The 25239-nt window shown below is 38.5% G+C and overlaps 1 protein-coding gene across 9 annotated transcripts in view; it reads right to left on the bottom strand.

Moving 5' to 3' along the window:
- Positions 1-23876, bottom strand: part of OPN5 (opsin 5) — a 44350-nt gene extending 20474 nt beyond the window's left edge. Inside the window, exons 1-4 of one of the 9 annotated variants that reach the window (NR_033806.2) lie at positions 18626-18840; positions 13936-14106; positions 12137-12216; positions 10345-10679 (exon numbers count right to left, since the gene is read on the bottom strand). Coding sequence is in view for 8 of the 9 variants with exons in the window: in NM_181744.4 (NP_859528.1) it covers positions 10345-10679; positions 13936-14106; positions 19274-19393; positions 23712-23841 (756 nt within the window). In the remaining variant the exon portion in view is untranslated. Of the gene's footprint in view, positions 1-10344; positions 10680-10792; positions 11467-12136; positions 12217-13935; positions 14107-18625; positions 18841-19125; positions 19230-19273; positions 19678-23711 lie in introns of those variants that run through there. The other 8 variants (NM_181744.4, XM_017010416.2, XM_017010410.2 and 5 more) reach the window with 8 other exon arrangements.
- Positions 23877-25239: the final 1363 nt, after the last annotated feature.

Here is a 25239-nt window from a genome sequence, read left to right as displayed (position 1 = left end):
CTGAGTAAGGATGGAGCTATGCCAGGTATCACTTCCTTTTACTCCCGTCCCCAACTTTAAGAAGCAAAATAACAATTCCCAACATCAGGGTCATGACAAGTTCCAGAGAATCAATGATAAGGAGTGAGACATACAATGTTTTATTAGTAATAATTAAAGCAACACTATTTGCGAATGCCTTTTTTGTTTTAGACAGTTAATTGGATGTGTTTTTCCCATAACAAGGACATATGTGTGCCCGTGCATTTCAGTACACTTTAGCGGTAGGCAGGAAATGGTCCACAGCCTTCGGTCTACTTGACCTGTGGAACAGCCTGTCTATGGGGTGTGTTGGCCCTAGGAACCCGCCTCTGTGGTGTGTATAAGAATGAAACATGGAAAATCTAAAGTCTAACCTAAAGTCTCAGGTTCTAAAATTCTACCCAAGAATTTCAGAACTCATCTCTGAACATTACCTGCAGCACACACACACACACACACACAATTAATAATATCAATTTTTTTTCCATTTTACAAATAGAGAATCTGAATCCCCAGGAAATCAATCAAGTGAGCCCAGATCTCCTGCATGATCTGCAACCTTGCTTTCGGTCCTTGGCCAAAATTCTCACCTATGCTTAGCAGTTAAACTGTCAAGTCCCAATGTGCACACGCAGCTCTCCTGTTGGACTTGCTTTCCTATCTTTCTACGAAGCTTACCCAGGAGAAATTTTTATTTGGTTATGTCTGTGTGACTTTTGCTTGTAAATGGAATGGATGCCTCAAGGCTCACAGTGAGGGCCTTCTTTTTCTAAATCCCCAAATAAACACTAACTATAGAAATAAAGCTTGCTTTAGCAGATGTCTAGGGACTTAACATAGCTCCATCTTTGCTTCTTTGGTGAGTCATATGATGAGTTCACAGTATCCCAAAAGCTGTTTTCTGTGTTGCTGCCAAAGTCATTGACAAAAAATAGATTAGCACTTAGTCCATAATATTTTCTACATTTTACGTGTTTTCTACTTTTAGAGGAGTGTGCAATTGGGGAACAGGAAAGACTTAAAACATTAGCATTATGTTATCCTTCTTAAAAGGACATAGAAGAATTAAATATACTTCAGTTTTACAAACACATAGCAAATGAATCACTGTGGTTTTTCTGGGATTAGAATAAATCTAAATACTTTAAATTGAAAGACTTAGAAATTGAGTTTAAAGCAGAAAGAGGGATAAAAGGCTAGATCTAAAAAGTACTACACAATGTTATTTATGTTTCTGAAGTGAATACAAAGTTAATATAAGGCACATTCACTTTCTATAACCTTTCCATTTTAAAATATACTCCACAAAATATTAAACATTTAAATGTAAAAACTATTTTAAGATATAGGCCACGAAAGTTTTCAAAACTTTCATGTTACACTCCGTTTTTGTCAGCATTTTCTACTCAGCTTGGAATATATTTAATCTTTTCATCAGTCTGTTTTTGACTTTCCTCAATTCTAAGTGTGTCTTAATTTTTATTTTCTAAAATTTCCATTCCAGATATCCTTAAGCCAGTTCTAACACAGGCTCCTGTACCCATCAACTTTTTCTAAGTTGTTTATTTTTTTTTAATTACTTCACTTTTATCACTGCCTTTTTAGGTCACTGAAAAAGCAGTAAGACTTCAAATCCTAAATTAGACAATTTTTGTGGGCGGAAATTCACAGGGTACATGTTTAGCTTCTACAAAAGAATCACACAACTGCAACCCAGTTCATTTTAAGTACATCATGCTACAGAGGACCAAGGGATATAGCCAGTTTCCAGTGCCAGTTCAAGCTGGTATTGTGTCACAAAAGCAGTGTTGTCCATAATTGCTCAATTCCAATTAATTAACCAATTAAAGCAATAATCGAATAATGTGGTTGAAAGTAAATCCTCCAAGGCTATGCCTCTGGGTCTAATACATCTGAAGCATTCCAGCAGGTAATGTTTCTAAGAAGGAGTTTCCCTCCTTTCAATGTGCTGAGGCAGTGTGGAATAGTGAGAAAAGTCATTGGCATGGAGATACTCTGAGTAACTCCATGATACCAGTCATGGTTCAGCTCGACTGAGCAGTGTGAGTGGGGCAGAATCGCTGATTTTCTAGGAACAACTATTTCAGAGGGGGTGCCGAGCTCCTCTCTCCAGGCTCCTTTGCCCAGATGCAAATAAGACTTCAGCTAATACTTGAAGCTGCATGCTACCTTGAATAATAAAATAGATTAGAAGATACAGAATTGATGTGAAAGTAAGGTTGAAAAAGAGGGCCAAAGAGATGAAATAAGTTCCCCATCAATAACAAGATTGAATCACATTACAGAACCAATTAGAATGGGGATAACAAAGATATTTCAGTGGCTAGGGTGAGAAAATGTTCCCAGGAGAGATCACCTCTATGCATTAGGGAACAGGAAGAATGCACGTTCTGCCTCTTTCAGGAGACAGCACAATTGACAGGAGCATGCGGGTGACAAGATTTTGTTTTTCTAGCTTGGATCTAGCTAGATTTGATTCTGGCCAGTAAGAAAATAATATTAAAAGACAGTAATTCCAGTTATGAGACTACTACCTTCCACGTATAGAGCCATCTGTCATTGAGTGATTCTACCAGTGGCAAGCAGGAAGGGAGGGAACTTGACAACTGTGACCTACCTTCTTTGGTTCCTTCACATACACATACAAATAGGAGTGGTGACACTTACTTAGCTTTCACATTACCTTTTAAGAAATTAAGAAATTTGACAGCTTTGAGTGTGTCTAGTTGGAATTTCTTCCTTCCTTCTATTTTATCCACAGAATGATAATTAAGGTCAACTATCCTAAACCTTCCTCCATAAACTTGTAAAGAAAAAATTTCTGACATCTTTGGTGTACCTTCCATCTGTTAACCCTCATTGTGATCTAAGCAATAAACATGAATTCATACTTCAAAAAAAGAAAAAAACAAGTAAAGAAAAACAAGAATTTCACACTTCCCAATTGCAATTTTCTCGAATCTTAAAATACCGCTACTCTATAAACAAGCAAAAGCTGCAACTGAAAAGAGAGGCAGTAAATTAGGTCATGTCACTCTATGCATCTGTGTTTTGGGGTTTTGGTCCAAAACTGAATACAATATTTCCTGACTAGGCAGTGGCTGGCTTAAAGAACAGAAAATAACTTACAAGTATCTGGTTCAACAAAACAGGAGAGACTTCACTGTTAGTTATAGATGGCCCAAAGCCCTTGAAGTGGGGATGTGCGGCTTGGAGAGGAACAAATACTCAGGTTGGAAGGCCATGTGGTTCTAGTAACAATAGCCATTGCCAGAGACCTTTAAACAATTGAACAAATCTAGTCATTTTCATAGACATGCAGAGTTTAGAAGGTAACTGAGATATCATTTCATTCTCTTCCTCCACTTTCACAGATGAGAAAACTAAGGCCCAGCAGGATTAAATGGTTTGCTTTAGGTGAATTCATCAAGATGCTGAGTTACAAGCAGCAGAAGTTGACTATGGGTGAGTGAGATAGAAAATACATTTATTTAAAGGATACTGGTTAACACAAAGTAACACTGGGAAGCTGCAGTTTACATTGAGATCAAGCAGAGAGAAATGCTACCCAAAACTGTGACTGAGAACTGGTTCTGATGCAGAAACTCCTGCTGCTGTAGCCATGGCCTCAGGAAAGAATTCCCTGCCCCTAGATGCCATATCATTAGTTTCTGGGACACACTGAGGGCTGGTGCCCAAGTCCATAGCTGTAGGGGAATTCTGGGAAATGAGTAGCTGTTCTTTTCAGCGTCTTTTAAATTAAGAGGCACAGTGCTTCTCCTCTCACTCTAAGCAGGGCACAAAACGTTGGAAATTCCTCAGATACAGAAGGCTTTCAGCCTATGGCAGGCAAAATAAAAAACACACATTGACTATGTAACACCTCTCAAGGAGCTAGTGGCAAAATTGGGATTGACTCCTAGTTTAAAACTTTTTCATGATTAAATTGCTCTGAAGTAATCCTTCCTTCCTTCCTTCAACAAATATATATTAAGCACTTACCATGTATGAATCATTGTATTAGGTCCTGGGGACACAGAGAGAAAAAAAAAACATGGTTGTTACCCGCTCAGGTCTCATCAAGTAGTGGTAACAAAGAAAAAAAGGGAAATGAACAAATAATCCCCAAAATAGGTATGAAATCGTAAATTAATTAAAAATTGTGATATGTTCCAAGAAGATAACGTAAAGGCTGCAATGAAACATTGTAATAGGAGGATCTGAATTCAATTTTTGGAAATGCTTCTCTGGGAAGTGACATTTAAGCTAAGAACAGAGGGATGTAATTAATTAATTGGTTTTGGGGGTTTTTTAAAGCAATACAGTTCAACTTTCCCATGAACTGCCCTTAGAGTCCACACAGGGGGTCTTCTGAATCTGATCCTTCAATGATAAATAACATTTGATGAGTTATAAAAGGGAGGAGTCATTTAAGGGAAATGGAGCTTTATGTTTAAGAGTTTTAGAAAGATTTCACAGTCAATGTAAAAGAGCAAAGTGAAGCAAAATGCCCTGTCAGGTATAAAAGAAACAGAGGCCCTAGAGCCAGAGTTCAAGGGACCTCTTAACATTCATCAAGGTAATTAGATTAACTTAGTTTATTCAATTATGTATTTATTCAAGTAATCTTGATTAAACAGCTAGCAGGTGCCACGCTGTAGGGTCCAGTGGCAAACAGGACCCACAGCATTTTCCTTTGCCTCACTTACTGTCTTACAAAAGAGAGCTATAAACATGTGATTCAGTAAAATATGACCAGTGTCACTAAAGATAAAGTGCCAAGTGCTCTGATGGCTCATACATAGCAGGTGGACTTTAACCAGGGAGAATCAGGAGGGCTTTCTGGTATAAATAAGGGACACTAAGAGAAATTCAGGTGCCCAGGGGATCTGTATCATAACTGTAGACCTGGAACATTGTAAATGACTGATGTGTGTTAAATGAATTACTATGAAGTACCAACATGTATAGCATAATAATATTTAGAAAAACTAATTCATGCTTCTGGGATTGTCTTCCTGTCATTGTACTGAAACTGCCTTTGCAAAAATTGTATCAGTAAGAAAAACTACAACAGTGAACTGAGCTGTTCTAACACCCCCATCTTGACTTTCCTTTAATTATTCCTGGGATTGGGTGCCAGGCTGACTTTGAGAGACATTTAGGCTCAAGTTTAAATGATAACAGGCCTTTCCCCAAATTCAAGCACTTTTGAAAAGCTAATGGGAAGCTGTCAAACTGGGGGAATGGGAGGACACTGAGTTCTGCTAAGGTGCAGACCTAAATGATTGTCAGCCATTATTCTGGAGGTTACAAGATATGCAACTTCCCCAATTACTCCTGCAAATAACATCAGTATTGTAGAACCTCAGATTGGCCTTTTGAGATATCTTTTCAAGTTTTTTGCATGTCTGACACTCATAGCTCCACCTGGACCCCAAGGCTCCTGTGGCCCCACCTGGGCAGACGCAGCTCAAGAGGAGAGCTTCCACCCCCTATGATTTCATTCCCAACCCAACCAGTCAGTAGCAAGCACCCATTGCATAGCAATCCCCACCCCTTCACCCAAACAGCCTTTGAGATACCCCTCACTTACAAACTTTGGATGAAATTGATTTGGGTACTAACTCCATTTCCCATCTGGCATGGCTGGCCTCATGGCTATTAAACTCTTTATTGTAATGCCATGGTCTTTCTTTGTGCAGCAGGCAGGAAGGACCCCTCAGGCAGTGACTCTACCATTCCCCTTATTTAATCAGTAGCAAGAGTATTCACTGCATTGTGTGAAGATTTTTAGAAGCAAAAGTACCTAAAGAAGTAAAACCTTCATTTCCCAGCTTCTAAGTTTTAAAACAGAAATTTGAAACTCCCAGGAGAGAAAATAATTGAGAAAAAGGGTTTTGAGTGTGGGGAAAAAAAGTGACTTTGAATATCCACAATTAGAGGCTTAAAGGACTCAGGGCATTAAGATTACTGTGTGAGAAATTTAGAGGATGTACATGGAAATAAGAGCCAGTTTTCCCACTCCCAAATAGGTACAGGACCTACACCCTGAAGGCAAGTGGGGACATCAGAGGAGTTGGTAACCTACCCTGAGAAGGTGTCCTGAACCTACCCCACTGAGCTGAACACCAAAGGCCCGGGGTCAGGGTGGAAGAACAACAGAACTCTCAGGGATGTGAAAGCAGAAAACATGTGCCTCACTTCCCAGGGCCCCAGCCAAGACCCAAGATGCACCGGAAGGGTTGCAGCGGAAGGGTGGGGAAGTAGCTTACAGTGCTGATGAGCCTAAAGATGACTTATAGTTGGAACAACAAAGATGCAAAGTGACCCATGAAAACTATAACTAAGACCACAAGGAACCCTAAATATCTCAGCAATGCCAGGGTCAATGAATGACAACACCCAGACCAAGAGTCCCCAACCCATTAGCACTGGCATTGTGAAAACCTTCCTGAAACTTTTAGGTAATCCTGGGAAGAAGAGAGAAATTACTGATTTCACTGAATTTATCTTGACTGTCCAATAAGAAATCAGTTTTACAAGGTCAAATGCAAGCATAGAAATGAGCTTATGCTGAGTCATAGAAATATAATCATATGTATATGTATATCATGTATATCATGTATATCATGTGTGTGTGTGTGTATATATATATATATATATATACATCACACCTCTGTTTATAGCCTGTGAAATTTCAGGCTGCTACAAAAGTCTAGCAAAACCATCATTTTTAAAAATTAATTAGAAAAAAGCTACAAAGTAGAGAAAGGTTTGCAGACAGAATGCCAACTTTTAGCTTCACGAGATCAGACCGGCAGAATACTGGCCCCAGTCATAACCCAGCTAGAAATAATTAAAGTACACAGAAAACTAAATGATTTTGATCTCAGAATCCCGTAAGGTAAACTTTAAGTAATCAGCTTTTAGACCAGGCTGTTCTGAAAATCAGAAGTACCAAGAGAGCAAGCAATTTGACAATCCTGAGCAGTAGCTAAATGAGCAAAAAGGTTTCTAAGGCTGTGGAAGGGCCCAATATAAGGCAGTTTCTACTTATTTTTACTCAGTAGAAAAATCAAGGTCAAAATTGAGTAGTAGTTAAAAATAGTTTCAATTTAGTACTGAAGATGTCACAGTAGTTATGTTTGTTTCTCAGTATCAGTTAAATTTTGTCTTACATTTTCTGCACAAATATTAATAATTAGAAACACTTGTGTTTATGTTATTTTAATATAGATTTATATAAATAAATGAAATATAGACATATTAATATAATATTACATATTATGTGATATCATTAAGTATATAAATTAAAAGAATATACATATATATGTAACAAAATTATATATATATGTATTCCTACACTTCATTTAACATTTCTTTGGTTAATCTGGTCTAGAGTGAGCCTAACTATTTGATCTACCCAGTCCAAGTCAAGCGGAATAATACAACAAATCAAATTAAATGGGATATGTGCTGAGCTATACCTCATATGTATAATGACCTTCAAAAGCATTGACTCATATGTATAATAAGTTCTAGAAGTACTGACTGGTCTAAACATTGACTAGGTTCATTTTTCAATATGGGTTGAATTTTGGCTTAAATTTTCTGCACAAATATTAATAATTAGAGATGTTTGTATTTAGGTTATTTTAATACAGGTTTATATAAACAAATAAAATATAGACATGTTCTTAATATAATATTACATATTATGTGCTATAATATCATTTAGTATATAAATTAAAAGAATATACATAACAAAATTACACATATGTATTCCTACACTTTGTTTAACATTTCATTTAACCTGATCTAGGGCAAGCCTATTTGATCTACCCAGTCCAAGTCAAGCAGAATAATAACAAATCAAATTAAATGGTATATGCTGAGCTGTACCTCATATGTATAATGAGTTCCAGAAGCATTGACTAGACAAGCTTCTCACTCCTCAAGAATACACAAGAGGACAAGATGCTAGAATGTGAGGGGGTCAAGTTGAGCAGTTCAACTGACAGGAGAGAAGATGATGGGTAACAAACTGGGAGAAACTGAAGAAGAGCCTCATGGCAATCAGGACCCAGATTTATTGAGCAAGGCCAACAAAGTGTCAAGGCCAATGACATAATAGGGGATGGAAAACAGAGAGGTGAGGGGGATGGCAAGAAGAAAGCACATTTTGAGACATTTCAGCAACTGTATGCAAAGTAAACTTCGACGTCACATACCAGTGTGATGAATGTCTGCACATCATTTCTTGGGCACACTTCCATAAACTACTGAAAAGCAAATTTTTCATCATTGGTACATTTGCCCAGTTTCTAAAATAGTACCTGGTACAAAGTAGGATTTTGATTAAATATAATTCAACTTTAACTAGGATTGATTTATTTAAATTTCTTTTTTGAAAGATGCAGGTAAGAGCTAAAGGGAGAGCTAGAAATGAAGAACCTAACTCATAATGCTTCATTTTATGAAAATATTTTCCTACTTTATAGCCAATTATAAGACAGAAGAAGTTCATGCTTCCTGAGTCTGCATTTTTGTCCAAGAACTGTTCTATTATTAAGCTATCAGTATAGATTTAGAGTGATGAAAATATCCCTCAAAGCTTCCTCTACTTGGCATGTAGAGTTTGAGCATAACAGTCAACTGGAGCCATCAGGAATCTAGCTCACAGTATGTGATATGGTTTGGCTGTCCCCCCACCCAGATCTCATCTTGAATTGTAGCTCCCATAATGCTCATGTGTCATGGCAGGGACCCAGTGAGAGGTAATCGAATCATGGGGGCAGGACTTTCTCATGCTGTTCTCATGATAGTGAATAAGTCTCACAAGATCTGATGGTTCTATAAAAGGGAGTTCCCCTGCACATGCTCTCTTGCCTGCCACCATATAAGACATGACTTTGCTCTTCATTTGCCTTCTGCCATGATTGCTAGGCCTCCTCAGCCATGTGGAATTGTGAGTCAATTAAATCTCTTTCCTTTATAAATTATCCCATCTTGGGTACATCTTCATTAGCAGTGTGATAGCAGACTAATACAATATGCAACCAAGAGATCTTTGTATAACTCCAAAAATTCTGCAATTTGGAGAGAGGCATATTACCAGAACCAAGTCTCTGACTTACTAAAAAGCCATCTCTTATCTGGGGGAAACTGTGTTTCTCTGGGTCCCTGAGACTAGTGGTCTCCAAAGTGAACATGAGAATACTCGAGGGTAGGATACCAATCAACGTGATTGATTGGGATACAGGAAGAAATAATTATAACTTCAATCTACCTTTATTTTTATCTTTAAAATAGAAGAGAAAATTTGGGGGGTTAAATTAGGGGGTGCTAATATTTAATACAAAGCTTGATGGTATTACCTGTATGTCATTTATATTGATGGCATGTGTTGGAAAATATTTTTTCAGTACAAGGGCAAAAAATCATGAACATGTGAAGACCACTGCTTTAGACTTTACCAGTAATTCCTAACAGGCATAAGGAAAAAGGAGAAACCATGGTTGCTCTAACACCTTCTATGCACCAGATGACAGAATAATATACTTTATCTCTTTGAATTCCCACCGTAACCCAATAAGACAGATATCACTATTCCTGTTATGCAAGTGAGGAAATAGGGATTCAAGAAAGCTAAATATCTAGTTCTAGGTCACAAACTTGGCAGGTACTGGTGATGGGATTAAACTCTAGTCTTGTTCTTTTCCTTACTCCACAATACCTAAAGAACTGTCACCTCTGAAACTACCGTTTACCAAGGTACTCAAGCCTGCAGAAACTGCTCGTGTTCATAACACAAGCTTCCCATGGGAAAGCACACATGGTAAACTCTTACTCTATAAATAATTCAAGTGGTAGAATGTCCCTAATGATGTCCCAAAGTCCATGCAACGCAGAAAATACTGTGAGGCATTGTATGATTCATAAAAGTTATTCTTATTACTGAAATAATGAATATGAATCAATAGTACCCTATTCAGCAGAGCAGATAAGCCCCAAATTGATGGGTTATACAAATTTTGTAGATATTGAAAATGTGTGTGTGTGTGTGTGTGTGTGTGTGTGTGTGAGAGAGAGAGAGAGAGAAGAGAGAAGTGGGGGTACAGAGACAGAAAGAGGAGAGAGATACCACAAAGAAAGGCTTAGACAATCATCAACGAAGTTCAGAATTACGTAAAGAATAGAGATTCTAAGTTCTCTCAGTCTCCAACGTTCCCTATCCTTTGTACCCTATGAAGTTGTAAGTAGTCAGAAAACACATGTGTAAAATATTAGTGCACTTACCTTTGTCAGTTTCATTTCCAGCACATGGCTGCTATGGATCCGACTGTCGAAATGAGCTACTTCTTTGGAAGAGGACTTAACCTTGGCAATGATCTTTACGTAGGAGAACACGATCACAGCCGTTGGGAGCAAGAGGCAGAAGAAGAGGATGTTCAGGATGAAAACCTGGCCCCCTACCGAGGCCTGGGCCAGCCACCAGTCCAGGGTGCACGAGGTTCCGAAGGGCTCAGGTACGTAGTCCCCCAGACCTACCAAGGGCATGGTGGTCCAGAAGGAAGCATAGGCCCAGATGGCTGCCAGGCAGATGTAGGCGTGCTTTCTTTTCAGCCAAACCCCTGGAGGCGGAAGAAAAGCATTACCCGGATGTAATCTGCCCTACACCCAGATACCTCCCCTCGATATGTCAAATTCCACCTCCAAAGATTTATTCCATTGATTTCTGGGAGACCTGGGCAGATAACTGAAGCCTGAGGGAGAGTGGAGTAAACGGAAAAAAGTTCCAGAGCTTGGGCCTTTCTCCAGGAGAACACAATTGGAAGGTTTTCTCTAGGCATCTGGGAGCTTTGGGAGGGAGAAGTGACAACAGCTGGGAAAAGGGACAGGAAAGAGATGAGAGGATGCTGAAGACAATGGAGGCCCTTGAGAAAACATCTCGGAAAGGGTGTGTTAGTGGATCATCCAGGGAAAATCCTTCTGGGAGGTGAGGAAGCACAAAACATGGCTTGTGTCTTTAAAACGCCCTTCCTGCTAACAGCTTTTGTGTTGCTAGTCTTATCTGGCTTCCTAAGAACTTGTGGAAGGGGCTTGGTGGCTCGTGATCATGACACTATGGTTTGAGATTAAAGTCCTTGACTGTGTTTAGTAATTTGTGGAGCAGGTTTGGAATCTTCAAACGTCATTCACACAACAATCGCGCTCACACAGCCACAGCGGGAGAGGCAGAGAATCTAGGTAGGTTGCATCATGTTCTGCAAAGTAATTCTGTGAAGATATTTTCAGGAAGACAAAAAATGAGCTCCGTTTTTCAGCACTAGTTTCTGTTAACCAAAAGAGAATTCCAAGCGGAGGAAATAGTGCAGTCATCTAAGAAAAGCTGTAAAGCACTAGTGATCATTTTCAGAATTCAACACAACCACCAAAGACAGGTCGGCCTGATTTAGTGCAGCAGCCTCCACAGGAAATTACCTTCACACCTCACTCATCACCTCGAACGAAGAGGGCCAGGAAAGTGACTCTTTACTGCCTTGGTTTTGTGTTAGCAGAGAAGAAATATCAAAATATATTCAACAAAAGCTAAATGATTACTTCAATATAGACTCAGGGCCTGCCTCTGCTTAGTGCAATGTGAGGTTTGGAAAGTCGGTCAGGCCTAATTCTTCTATGTCTAGTCTTTGACTGACCTTGTGCATGCAAGACTATATTGCATATGGGTTAAATAAAATAATGTAAGGGGCCTGCTTTGCAAACTAGAAAGTGCTATATTAACATGAATTATTTTACTCCTGTGTAAGTGTATCTCATTTAGCGCTAATAAGAAATATAACAGATTGTTTCTATACTCTATTGTCTCCATTTTTTTCAAATACATGGCATTTTGTGTCATGAAATGCAAATTTCATGCCCAACCAGATAGGGGTGGCAATCATGTAGCCACAATATAAGTCAGCTCTTGTTTCTCCACTAAAACTGATAAAACATTGGCACAGGTAATCACATATATTCATGGGAATGTGCATAGGCATACGTATAAGCATTTATGGTTAGGGTTACTTGTGAGGTGTTTTATACTTACATTCCAGTATGGTGAAAGGCTGTCAAGTACAGGAGGGAGTAGATTAGTAGATTGGTTCTGTGTTGCTCCAGAAGTCAGAACTAGGACCAATGGGTGGAGGTTACTGGGAGGCAGTTTTGTCTTAATATAAGGAATAACATTGTAACAATGAGAGCAGACCAATCAGAGAATGGGCTGCCTTGTGCAGTAGTAAGCTCCCCGTCACTGGTCACTGGAATTATTCAAGAAGAGGCCAAGTGGTCATCTCTCAGGGATGCCTTAAAACAGTTTACCACGTTACATGGGAGAAAAGTCTACACATCCCCAAGCGACCTTCTAATTCCAACATTCTGGGACGCTGTGTGGAGGGTTTAATAGTGCATCAGATTAAATGATGAAACCACACTACTGAGGTTCAACCTTAGAAGAAGCTGGAAAATATACACAGTTCCCACATATGGAGTTATGACCTGCAATGATCCTGGCAGTGGGCGGCATCATCTCTTTAACTGACAAAGCCTAAACTCAAGAAAATATTTAAAAACAGAGGTATCAGGGTTTAGTATTCCTCAAACACTCTCAGGAAGTTTAACTTTTTTGCCTTCTTATCTATAAAATCTATAGTTAAATTTAAAATCTCTTTGGTATGAACAAAAATAAGTCTATAGAAAGAATTAGATGTTGACGTCACACAGAATATGTATAGTTGTATATTTTATATCTTACTGGAAATTTTGATTCAAGCTATTTCTATTGGAAGTTTTAAATGTTTAAAAAAGGAGATGTAAACTTTAAAAAAAAAAAAAAAAACGTAGTGCTGGATGATGAAGAGAATGGCTCACAAGCCCCCGCCTCCCACCCACCCAAGCATGGATTCTTTGGAGTTTGGGGATGTAAACTATAACAATACAAAGGGAAATTCTACCACATTGACAGTGTCAGGTCAACTTGATTTTTCCCACCTCAGTCTCCAGGCCCTGCTCTGACACCACAGTCTGTCGTCCATCACAACCACTCTAATTGACAGATTGACAATCAAAGCAACTTTATCCAGAGGAAGTCAGTACTGTTCCTTGGTTGTGCCTGGTTCTCAATATTAAACTTAAAGACCCAAATGCAATTCTTTCAGGTTTGATAAATTCCGAGAGCTCCAACAAACAAATGTAGTAGAAATTATTTTTAACCTGTAGAATGGTCTAATCATTAAAAAACATATATTTAGTCCCTGGAAACTTATTTTCTGCTGATTCACCAATTCTTGTAATCACTCATCTTTCTACCAACCAACACCACAAAAAAAAATATGTTGAGTGATATTTCTACATGTGTGTCCTTTCATGCAGAAACAGCTACATGACTCTAACTTGGAGGTGAACTTTTTGGAATTCCTTATCTCTGAAATCACAGGGAGCGTGAGTCCTAAGGGAGAATCTTAAACAGCTTTTCTTATAATTACACTTCCTAGGTGGGGAATGAGCTAAACATCTTGGACTTAACACCCTTTCGATGCACTTTATTTCTTTTGTTTGCGTGGGAAACATGATGGAAGCTTACACACTATACAAGAAAATGGTACTTTTTTAAAGCATTATAACCAAACACCAGACATTACTATAAAATATGTATTAAAAGAAATCTACTTTGACATAGGTTAAAATCCTTAAACATGTCAGAACAAGATGATAGGCTATAAATAGAAATATTCTTGATCTCTGAGGTTATTCATAATCTTTGTTTATTACCTGCATAAAATATGTACAGTTCTAACACTCAATCCACCTAGCTTTAACTGTCAGGGAATGAGAAACCTGCCAACTTACCATAAGATAAATAGCAGATTTTCAAATATCGATCCAGGCTGACAGCAGTCATGGTGATAAGGCTTCCACAGCCAAAGAAAAATCCAGCCCATCCATACCAGCGGCAGCCGATCCAGCCAAACACCCAGCGGTGACAAAAGCAAGAGATGATGGTGAACGGCTTGCCTACAACTAGAGCACCAAGTGACTTGTCAACAGACGTTCCTCTGGTTACTATTTCCCCACCTACCTCAACTCACCTGAACCTCCTCCCCTAAAGCACGGGGACACATGTGAACGCACACACACACCCTTGATTACACAGATTTCCTAGATTAATAAAAGCCCAGCAGTTATCTATGAATAAACTCAGTTTGAAGCTACCCAGAGAGGACTTTCAGTCATCCCAATAGCCAAAGACAGTGAAAGGATATAGAAGGAAAACTTTAAAGTAATTATTACTTTTGAAAAAACTGTCTCAAAGAGACCTGGCTTCAGGAATTACAGACATGATACTAGTAGCCAGTGACAACGATCTGGTCACTTTTAACATGTTGTTGCAGTCTTTCATTCGAAGGCTTAGAGAAAGGGGAAATGAATAAAATCTCTGAGAGAAAATACACTCTTCAAGCACAACTTTTCTATTCTAGAGAAGTTCTTTCTCACACTAGTCTGTTAAGATTTTTTTTTTTTTTACCAGAAATAGATGTTAAGTTTTATTAAATGCTTTTTTGGCATCTACTGAGGTGATCATAACATTTTTTCTCATGGAATCAGTTAATGCTGGTTATTAATAGATTTGTTTTTGAAACATACTTACATTCCTGGGACCAATGCAACTTTTCTTAATAATAAAACTTCCAGAAAATTGTCTCAATGAATAGAGGAAAGAAGAGATGGAGAAAGAGAAAATGAAGAAAAGGAGGAAAAAGACAAAAATAATATGCAAAACAGTGATTTCCTTCCACCTCATCCTCCTCCAAGTGGGGCCTTTTAGAACCTGTATAAGGCATGAGATTCCTTATAATGAAAAGGGGAATTTGGTTTTTTTCTTTCTTTTGGAAGCTGCATCCTTCTAGGAGGAATATGGTTTCTAACACCCCAAGATAACCTTGTACTTTAGGAGTTAAGTGTCTATGAAAGGGTTTGGGAGGGGAAAGAGAGAGGTTATATATCAGAGAAAGCCTTAATTAGAGAAGCAGTGAACTAGCTACTGTGAATATAGAAAAGGAGGAGGTTTAATAGCACTCTGGAGAATAAAGATTATAAAGAGCACTGGAGAAAGAAAGTGTGAGTTTCAAACACATTTTAAAGAATGATGTAGACAACTTTCTCTGAAATGTGAATTTGTCCTTTTATTTATTTAAAAAATAGAACATATTTAGTCTTTTACTATTACCTTGTTACTATCAATGAATAAAAAGTCCTTAAGAAACCCCAGAAAGTTGAGTATTCACAGGGAAGCAATAGGATGGGGGAGGTGAAGGAGGGAGGATAATTATATAGCCCAGCAATTTTCATGTGTTCATGCCTAGACCAGAGAGGATTCATGGAGCTCCTCTATGAGAGAGAGACACAGAGAGAGAGAAAGAGAGAGAGAGTGTCCCCTGAAGGGGAAGTAGGTAGGTCATTTAGGGAAAGAAATATTAAGCAACCAAGGTTCCATGCTCCACCTTCTGTCAATCAGGAAAGATAATTTTTTTCACCTGTTTTATATATTCAGCTTCTAAGTCATGCTCTTTTTCAAAGAAAAAAATTCACTGTTTTAAAAAAATTGTTTAGGAATTTTATTTTAAAATCCTTTTTGTTAAGGTTAGAACCAGATTTCCACATTTCCTTCTGTTTCAGTTGTTTCTTTTTTTCTTCTTCTGTTAAGTTATGTCTTATTCAAATACGGTATAGCTATTTCAGTAAATGTGAGGTCCAAGCTGTTTACAACCAGATCCAGATTTCTGGGATTTAAACTATTTATTCCTTGACCCTCCATTAGAATTTTTTTTTTCACTTTCTAGAAAGCATTCTTCTACTTTTACCTCATAACCTGTAGCCCTCCCTATTCAGTCCTCACCACACCCCCCACAAAAAAAAAAAAAAATTACTGAGGAAGCTCTTCAAACCTCTAACTGATCTATATCACAAAAGAAGGTTCCCTAACCTTAATGTTTTAGGAAAGCTAAGTAACTGACATTCACAGCCTGCAGGTGCTAGCTCCCAGCTCTCCCAGGTGTGTTCCTCTATGGTTTACAAAAGTATTCAGGAGTTCCTGTTAGTTCGGTGAATCAACACATATTCACTGAATGCCTTCTGCAATCTAGACACACGTCTCCTCTAGTTGTCTAGATGGTTAGTGCCATCTTTCAGCTTGCTAGACTAGGTGCCCTCATATGACAGCCTCCTAATTCCAATGAGTCCACAAGGAAATGGAGTGTAAAATAACTATTTAGGTTTGTGGGGTTTTTTTCCATTCAACAACAAATTTTTCAATGCCTGGTATGTAAGAAACACAGAGCAAGGTGCTAGAGGACAAAGTGGAGATCAAGACTGACAAGTTTATTTTCTAACAGGTAAAGCAGACAAAAAAAAAAAACACCTAAATTTGTAATATAAGATGTGGTATGACAGAAAGATAGGTAGTGATTAGTACAATGAAGGAAAATAAAGCAGAGAAAGCAGGTAGATGGAAACTGTTGTTTTACATAAAGACATTAAGGAAGACTTCTCTGAGATGTGACATTTAGGTAGATACCTAAATCAGTGGGAAAGAAGTCAAATAAACTTCTGGAGGGAATGGATTAGAGGCAGAGGAAACAGCAAACTAAAAGGCTTGAGGTGGGTGTCAGCCAGGTGGGTGCTAAAGGCAGCAAAAAGACAAGTGAAAGTGACAGAATGGAGTAAGATTACATCTGTTGTGCCTGGGATCCTGATTAGCAAAAGCGATTTCAGGCTTCCTTCTTCAGTAGAGCTTTGGATTAAACTTTGGGGTGTCATCTAGAATGTCTCTCTTCCACTTAGTAGAATGTTTCCAGAACCCGGCTGCACTTTAGAATCGCTGGACGGATTGTTTTGCTTTGCTTTGAAATATCAACATCCAGGGTTCCATCCCTCCCCACAAACCTCCCAATATTGTTATTTATCTGGAGTGAGTTCAGGCATTATACATATTTTTAACACCACCACCGCCCCCCCCCAGGTTATCCTAATATAACACGACTTTATCCTAAGAGGTTATCCTAATATAACACGTGTATATAATACACACGACTGGGAGCCCTTGATATTTAGTCAACAAGTATTAGTTGCATAAATGCCATACATCTGGCCTCCAGGAGGTGCTTATAATGGAATATAGCTGAGCCAGAAAAAAATAAAGCAGGCAAAGTTTTAACGTTTATTGGAAGGGAAAATGCATTATAGATGTTCCAAAGTTGAAAAAAATGATCTGGGTTAGTGAAACCTGTTGTATGAAAGAAAGTGGTTTCTGGTGAATTACTCTGAAGACGTAAGCAGAGTAATGAGGTGGTTTGCACCATTCTAGAGCCGACTTGCTTGGCTGAGAGCATATTTCAACGCACCAGGCCAATTAAGGACATTTTTATTCAAGCCTAGTCTAGTTCAGCAATGAGCCTGCTATTATTCACCGATGAAGGATGTAGCTGGAATGACATGTTTCATTCAGGCATGTTACGCTCAATACCAGGTAGAGCACCTTAGGGGCCCGCGAGGCGAGCTGGCCAGGAAAGCTACCGTTCCTGTTGCGACAGCGCCATCGCGTGGCAACAGGTAAAAATGGCAGCCATTTTGCAGCCTCACAAATCCCCTGGGGTTCGTCCTGTTTATTTTCACAAAACCAGGCATGTCTTGCTCTTCTTAATGTGCGTGTGCATTCACCATAAGCGTTCATAATGTTTATGCAGGTCCATACTGAATAAAGCCTTCCCAGATAACCAAGACCATCCAAACTCTGAGTAAGCACACATCTGCTGTGTGCTAAAGAGTGACTCAGAATGCGGAGGATTATTATTGAGCCTTGTTTTTAGAGATCGGCAGAAAAATCCACTTGCGAAGAGAGAAACAAATATCGGAAAACTCTTTTTTTTTAATTAAGGTCTCACTTTTTCACCCAGGCTGGAGTGCAGTGGTAGTACCATAGCTCACTGCAACCTTGAACTCCTGAACTTGATCAAGTGCCCAGCTATTTTTTATTTGTTTTGTTTAGTTTTACCCAATACCCAGACTTCAAGGATAAATTTGTTTTGTAGAGATGAAGTCCCACTACATTGCCCAGGCTGATCTTGAACTCCTGGCCTCAAACTTTATACCCATCTCAGCCTCCCAAAGCTTTGGGATTACAGGTGCAAGCCACTGTGCCCAGACACGAAATATTTTTTAAAGGAGGCTTTTGACGGGAAACTACTAACAAGTTTCTAATGGTAAGAGGAGCTGCTGTGTACTGTTCAAACAAATTACCCTACTCTAATGACCTAAAACCATAAGCTAAATAGCAGATGTTGGGATTCAAAGACAGATTAGAGTCCATCTAAGCAACTCTGAAGTTGTATAGAAGAAAGTGAAGAATGATTTACTTAAAATGGTTCATATTTTTTAAATTGAATTATAGTGAAGGAGAAATTTTTTTCCAACTCCTTGCCATGTTATTAGAGAAGTGAAAAAGAAGCCAGTGGTTCTCAATTTTGGCCACACATTAACATACCTGTAGATTCTCATTTTAAATATCCTGATGCCCAGGTAACACTCTCAACGACTTAATTCAGAACTTCCCCAGATGATATTTTGTGAGTTGCATTTGAGGACCACTGAACCAGAAGCTTCCTATGCTTGTGATATGTCACTAAGTCATGATTACATATATCATCAGCAGGGCACCTCTTTCCTCTTCCTACATTCACCTCTCAACTGCCTTCAACTGTCTTCAACTGTCATTTACCCTTCAAGATTCCTTTGTTGATGTTTATTTTAATCAGACTTCCATAAGGGTTGAAGAGGTGTAAAGAAGCTTAAAATACTGACCTGGGATTTGCCTCCTGATTTCTGATTTCTGAATCATTTAGCCCACTACACTTTGAGACATCTGAGGTATCACATATTATTTCAAATTGTGCCTTCAGCATCTAACATGCCTGACACACAGAAAAGACTCAATAAATATTAAATGAATAATCTTGTCAGCCGGACAGCACCCCATTGACTTACCACAAAACTCTGAAAGTTGATTTGTGAAGCGAAGAGTGGAAGGAGATGTGAAGGGAAGAGATGTCAGGGGGTGACGTTTGAGACAGTGAGTACTTTAGAATGGGGAGTAGTTTAAACCCACAAAGAAAACACAGCATGGTTGTGTTACCTGAAATCCCCAGATCACAGACTGCTAAATTGATAGTCATTATTTCAGCGGGTCTCAGCTTCTTCTTTCGTCTAGAAGACATGTAAAGGACATATCCATTTCCAAATGTGGACAGAATCCCTACAAGGAAAAATAAAAATTCCAATCGTTAAAACTAAGATTTCGAGTTCACTCAGATATGAAACACTTCTCAACTTCAAAAATGGACACCATAGATTTAGAGGGTAGTGAGAGGACTCTAAATAAAAAAATCTAAATTAAGAAGATGAAATAAAAAGCATGAGTTGTGAGTGACAGGCCAATGGGGCAGGAGTCAGGGATTATAAGACTGAACTTACCCAGAAAAAGGCATCGCTAACTTCCCCGCGAGGCTCAGGAAAGTGTGGGAATCCCAATGGTCAGTTCTTGTCCTGGCCCCCAGAGTGGAGTACTTTCCTCAGCCATTTTTATAGATTATTGGCTTTATAGAACTCCCTCCCTCTGATCAGTAGGGTTAAACCCTTAGCTCTTGATAAATTCTGAAGATGAAGCCAACCAAAGAAGGTGCCTTCAGTATCACTGTCAACTCCTAAGGGAGCACCAGTGTTCAGGAGAGGCAGAGGCCAGGTATGACTGGCATAACTCCCTTCAAGAAAATGGACATCTCCCAGAGACGCCCCAGGACTTCCGCCTCTTTGGGAGACATGGACACTGAGTGTCTGGCAGATAGGACAGCCTTCAGCTGCTACTGGACTAGATATCAAGGGTAAGTGGGTGACAATCGAGAACCTGGGCACTGTCCCTCCCACCAAGGGGAGAGAAAGTGACCCTCAACCCACCGAACCTACCAACAATGCCATAAGTGTGTTCCCACTTTTTCATATCCTTTTATTAATGACTAGTTGCCTTTGGCATTACAATGAAACTGTTCGAAAGTTCTTACAAACCCAGTTTAAATCCAAAAAGACCCAATCCCTACTGACTTTATTTAAGAAAAGAATACACCTACTTCCATAGCTTAACATGTAGAGTAGATTTCTTCAGGAATTCTTGCTTCATAGTGTAGCTGTGTATAAATGAGAATCTGGTACAGCTGCCTTTAGTAGTAAGGAATAAGGAGAGTATTAACAGGAGAAACCCAGAGTTTTCTATTTTAATTTCTACTTCTCCACCACAATTCATTTTGGGGGCAAAGAAAGAAATGTGTGATTCAGCTGATGGTATGAAACCACCAGGAACTAACTGCATTGTGCTCTTAGGAAATTCTGACTCCCTGGAGTCAGTGCTGCTTAATGGTCCATTAAAACCTCTTTAGCTTTCATAAAGCAGAAGAAGAGAAAAATAAAAGAGATTACGGAGTTCCAGAGCAAACCAACTAAAATGAAACAGGTCTCACTCAAGGAAACCAGCTAGGAAAGCAAAATGTGAAAACGTGGCTTGAAAAAGTATAAACTTAATGCCACCTACTTTGTATCCAAAAAGAGTAAAAACAAGTATCCATTTTCGTTTGATACACAAGGCTCATTGAAACACCTTTCATCTGTCTACATCTCTTTTGAAAATATTTGTTTTCTTACTTTTCCTTCCTTAAATTTTCTTTACTGACCCTGCTTCATAAGGTTTCACCCAGTGCCCAAAGCATTATCAAAAAATAGTCACCTCTCTATTCATTGCATGTAAATTATTCTAACAAGCAATATATATATGTTATAGATGAGTGTCAGGAAAAAGCAAATTTATTCTTAATATTACTGAAAAGACAACCAGATTAAGAAGATAAAGACCAAAGTGGGGACACTTTTAGATTATCAAATCCTATATCATTTATGGATACAAAAATATCATATATATTAACTGTTAATAAACTCAGTATTTACAATAATAGTAAAAGTGTGGAAGGTAGAAAATGGGTTTGTAATTTATGTCTCCTGTATTTCAAACTCAGATTTATATTGTTATCTTTCCATTGTCTCTTAAGACTTCTAGTATTTAACAAAGCCCACCAAGAATGTTTATTCCACTCTGGCTCCTTAAAAGCAATCTGGACACACACATCTTGGCCAGGCGCGGTGGCTCACGCCTGTAATCCCAACACTTTGGGAGGCTGAGGTGGGCAAATCACTTGAGGCCAGGAGTTCAATACCAGCCTGGCCAACATGGCGAAACCCCGTCTCTACTAAAAAACACAAAAATTAGCCAAGCATGGTGGTGCACACCTGTAGCCCCAGCTACTCAGGAGGTTGAGGCACAAGAATTGCTTGAACTTGGGAGATGGAGGTTGCAGTGAGCCGAGATCGCACCACTGCACTCCAACCTGGGTGACAGAGTGAGACTCTATGTCCAAAAAAAAAAGGAATCTTGCAACATCTACACTAGCCTATTCTAGGAGAGTGAAAACCAGACACACGGCCAAGTCCAAGAAGTGGATCTAGGGTGAGTCCAAACCCCTCCAGTCGACCCCTCTCCTCACCCTGCGTGACTGTTCTCTAACATACCATTGGCTCCACCTCCTAGTGCCCTGATCCTCCTGAAGCTCCCCCTGTCCAGGGACTCTTTTTCAACCTGTTTTTCTGGCTCCATCTCAGCAAACCCACTGGAATATGATTGTGGACTTTCCTTCCAACTCCATGTGTATCAGGTGGGAAATTCTCCTGATTTCCTCACCCTGGTTGCAATCCTCCTGCAATCCTCCCTGCTTAAGATTGGGAATGGACTGATAGGCCTCTCTGTTTTGTGTTGTCTGGAGAGATTTGTCAGGTTATTGATGTTACTTTTTTAATTCATTCCTTGAAAGTGATGGAGCTATGCTAAATACAATTGATCAAGTTGCTTATTTTTCTGCCTTTTCTGTTAATTGAAAGTACTTAAGTTTAATAAAAATGCAATGTGGATTTTACAGAGATAAGACAGTTTCTGTTCCAGCAGAATGTTTGCCCATTTTATTCTCTGCTCTATTCCCAGCAACTTAAAACAGTGGCAAAGAGTGGGCGCTCAATATATATTTATGTTGAAAAGAGATGGGGACTCATTTATAAGAAACAGAATTTAAACTAGTAAAACACTAACAACAATAAAGACAAAGACCCAGGGAATCACTTTACAGCAGAATTTGGTTGAATCACATGAGTTCCTTTTGCCTCAAGTACTGACCATAGAGGGATATCAAGTATTTTCTAATGAGTTTTGCTACTTTCAGGAGGTTAAATGAAATTCTTAGCCAGTAATAAATAGATGAGAGAGGGAGAAAAAGAGAGAAAGGGAGGAAGGGAAGAAGGGTGGAAGAGAAAGATAGAAACAAAGAGAAAAGAGAGAGAGAGCAAGTTTGACCCAACATCTGAAAAAATTAAAGGCAAACAAACCTAAAGACATAACCCACCTTCACACTGGTCACCCAAAGTTAAAACAACAATTTTAAATTTAAGAAAAGTATGGTTTCTTTTCTTAAATTTAAATAGGTGGTTAAATTAAATCCTAACTGTCTAGATTAGTGCTATCCAGTATAAATGTAATGTAAGCCAGAAATGCGAGCCACATATGGATTCTAAAATTTTCTGGTAGCCACATTAAACAAAGTAAAAATTTACAAAGTAAAAATTTAATTTATAAATTTAAAATTTACAGTAAATTAATTTTAATAATATATTTTATTTAGCTTAACATACCTAAAATGTTGTATGTTCAACATGTATTTAATTTTTAAAAATTATTAATGAGATATTTTATACCACTTTTTGTTGTACTGAGCCTTCAGTATCTGGTGAGTATTTACACTACAGCAACTTTCAATTTGGAAAAGCCACATGTGGCTACTGAATGAATGAGATCATGCAGTCTAGAAGCAGGTGCACCCTTTCGTCAATTATGCACAAAAATCTTTTGACCCCGGACTTTCTTCCATTTATCACCAACACATTTTTCAACTGTCACCAAAATGGCTTAGCTATTTTGATGCGACTTTACTTTTAGGTGAAGTAAACTCAGTGTTTCTGCCATTACTATAGTACTATAGCACAATAGCACAATTGAGTTTTGCACAGTTGTGAGAACAGGAGACTGACCTAGATTATTTTTAAGGCCCATTCTCAACCTAAAACTTATGATTATGTCAAAAACATTATTTAAAAAGCACTCTGTTTAAATAAAATATCATTATCATTAATTTTGGTATTCAGAAAGTAAATCTACTCCCAAAGTAACCAAAATGAAATGGATAAATAATTTTGCTGTAAGAGTTCTTGGATTATCAATGGAATTTTATTCCTAATAATAATGATAATAAAGAGTCATTTCTAGGAAACATTTATTGAATGCCATAATGCCATTCCATCTTCTGCCTTTCCCCACTCTTCGCCTCCACTAAACTATCCACTTAAGTATCAGAATCCTTTCACAAAATTAACATATCAGCCCATGAATTTTCTAAATGCAGCCTTTGCACAGAAGAATTAAGGAAGCTTACCAATTATTGTTAGGTAAAAGCCAGCCACTAAATCCGCTTCCCAAGAAAGTTTGGAAGCAAAAGGATCCCCATCTCGAAGGTAATGGGGCAGGCGCTCGTCCTGAGGCAGGGCAGTGTGATTTAACGCCATTCTGTTCTCGAACCACGAGGGATCTGAAAAGCAAACCAGTAGAGATCTCAGCAGACCTGAATAAGCCAGCTTGAACCATTTCATAATCGTGGCTCCTGTTTTAAAACAAAAAGCAAGTTCCCAGGGTCATGCATGATTCTCTAATTAATAACTGGTAAAAATTTTAACATTTTTTTCAATGATCCAATTATGTCATTACTCAGTTATTCGGTTGGCAGATTATCCAAGCCTTCATTTTCTCCTCTGTTTTCTCATGCTACTCTTTGAGCCACTTCTTTTCTCCTTGGGGTGATTAAAAGGTTGAAGGCCAAACTGTGCAATTTACTGTTTCTTAGCAATTTTTGTAAAGGTCTGAGCAGGAAATGATATTGTATGGAGTGTGCACACATACACACACACACACTATATATATATAATTTATGTATATAAATTATATATAATATATAAAAAATTTACATATGTATATATATAACTTGTCAGAATATAGTATTTTTTGATTATCCAGATTTCCCAGAAAATCATTTCCATTGTACATTCAATGAGGTTTAGAGTTTTGTAAGGAAAGAAATAGAGCATTCAGTACAAAGGAACATGGACACTTAATTAATTGAAGCTAAGAGCTAGGTGATTGTCAAAGTGATCTTGAAATTTGGAGCTATTTAGAAAGGATTCAAGCTGGGTTGTAACTCACAGGCACATCCACAGGAAGGTTTGTTTCTCAAGTTTCCTAGAGCAGAAAGCAATTTCATTATTTCTCACCACTGCCCCAAATCCATACTTTCTATTTGCTCATTTATGCTTCTGGATGAAATCTTGAGCATTGAGGAATTTCTCAGATACACAGGTCTTAGTACTGTTTCTTTTGAATTGGAGTTTTAAAAGGTTTACACAAAGTCTTTGATGGGCTTTCTGCAAAAATAAAAGTCACATGATATCCCTCATCCTGAAACTTGGAGTCGTGTGTTGTTCTTCAGATAAAGTATGCTGCTGATGTTAAAACTTCCTTTGGAAGGGTCATTCCTTTGTCATGATTGTTCCTATTTGTTTTGAAAGGGGAAGAAATACTAGTGTGGCTGTTTCTCTTTTGAACTTGCCTATTTCAAATCGAACCAACAGATGTCACTGTTCAGCTCTCTAGGCAACAATTTCGGGCATTATATGAGACAGCAAGTGGAACACAGAGTTGTGTGCCCCACAGGCGGTGACAGGGTGATCGGCACATATCTAACCATGTAATTCACCTTCGCAAAAGACATGAATTTAACCCCTTTCTAACTGCCAACTTACAGCTTACAGAGGAAGGCTAGTGACCCTTTCAGTGGCCAGTTGGCTGAAACTACAGTCTCCTACACACAGTTTGAGGACAGTCATGTGCTAATGTTCATTCCAAATCCTTCT

The sequence above is a fragment of the Homo sapiens genome, chromosome 6, assembly GCF_000001405.40.
Source record: "Homo sapiens chromosome 6, GRCh38.p14 Primary Assembly".
Taxonomy (NCBI): Eukaryota; Metazoa; Chordata; class Mammalia; order Primates; family Hominidae; genus Homo; species Homo sapiens.
The sequence above is the reverse complement of the archived record's forward strand: the minus strand, read 5'-3'. Positions and strand labels throughout refer to the sequence as shown.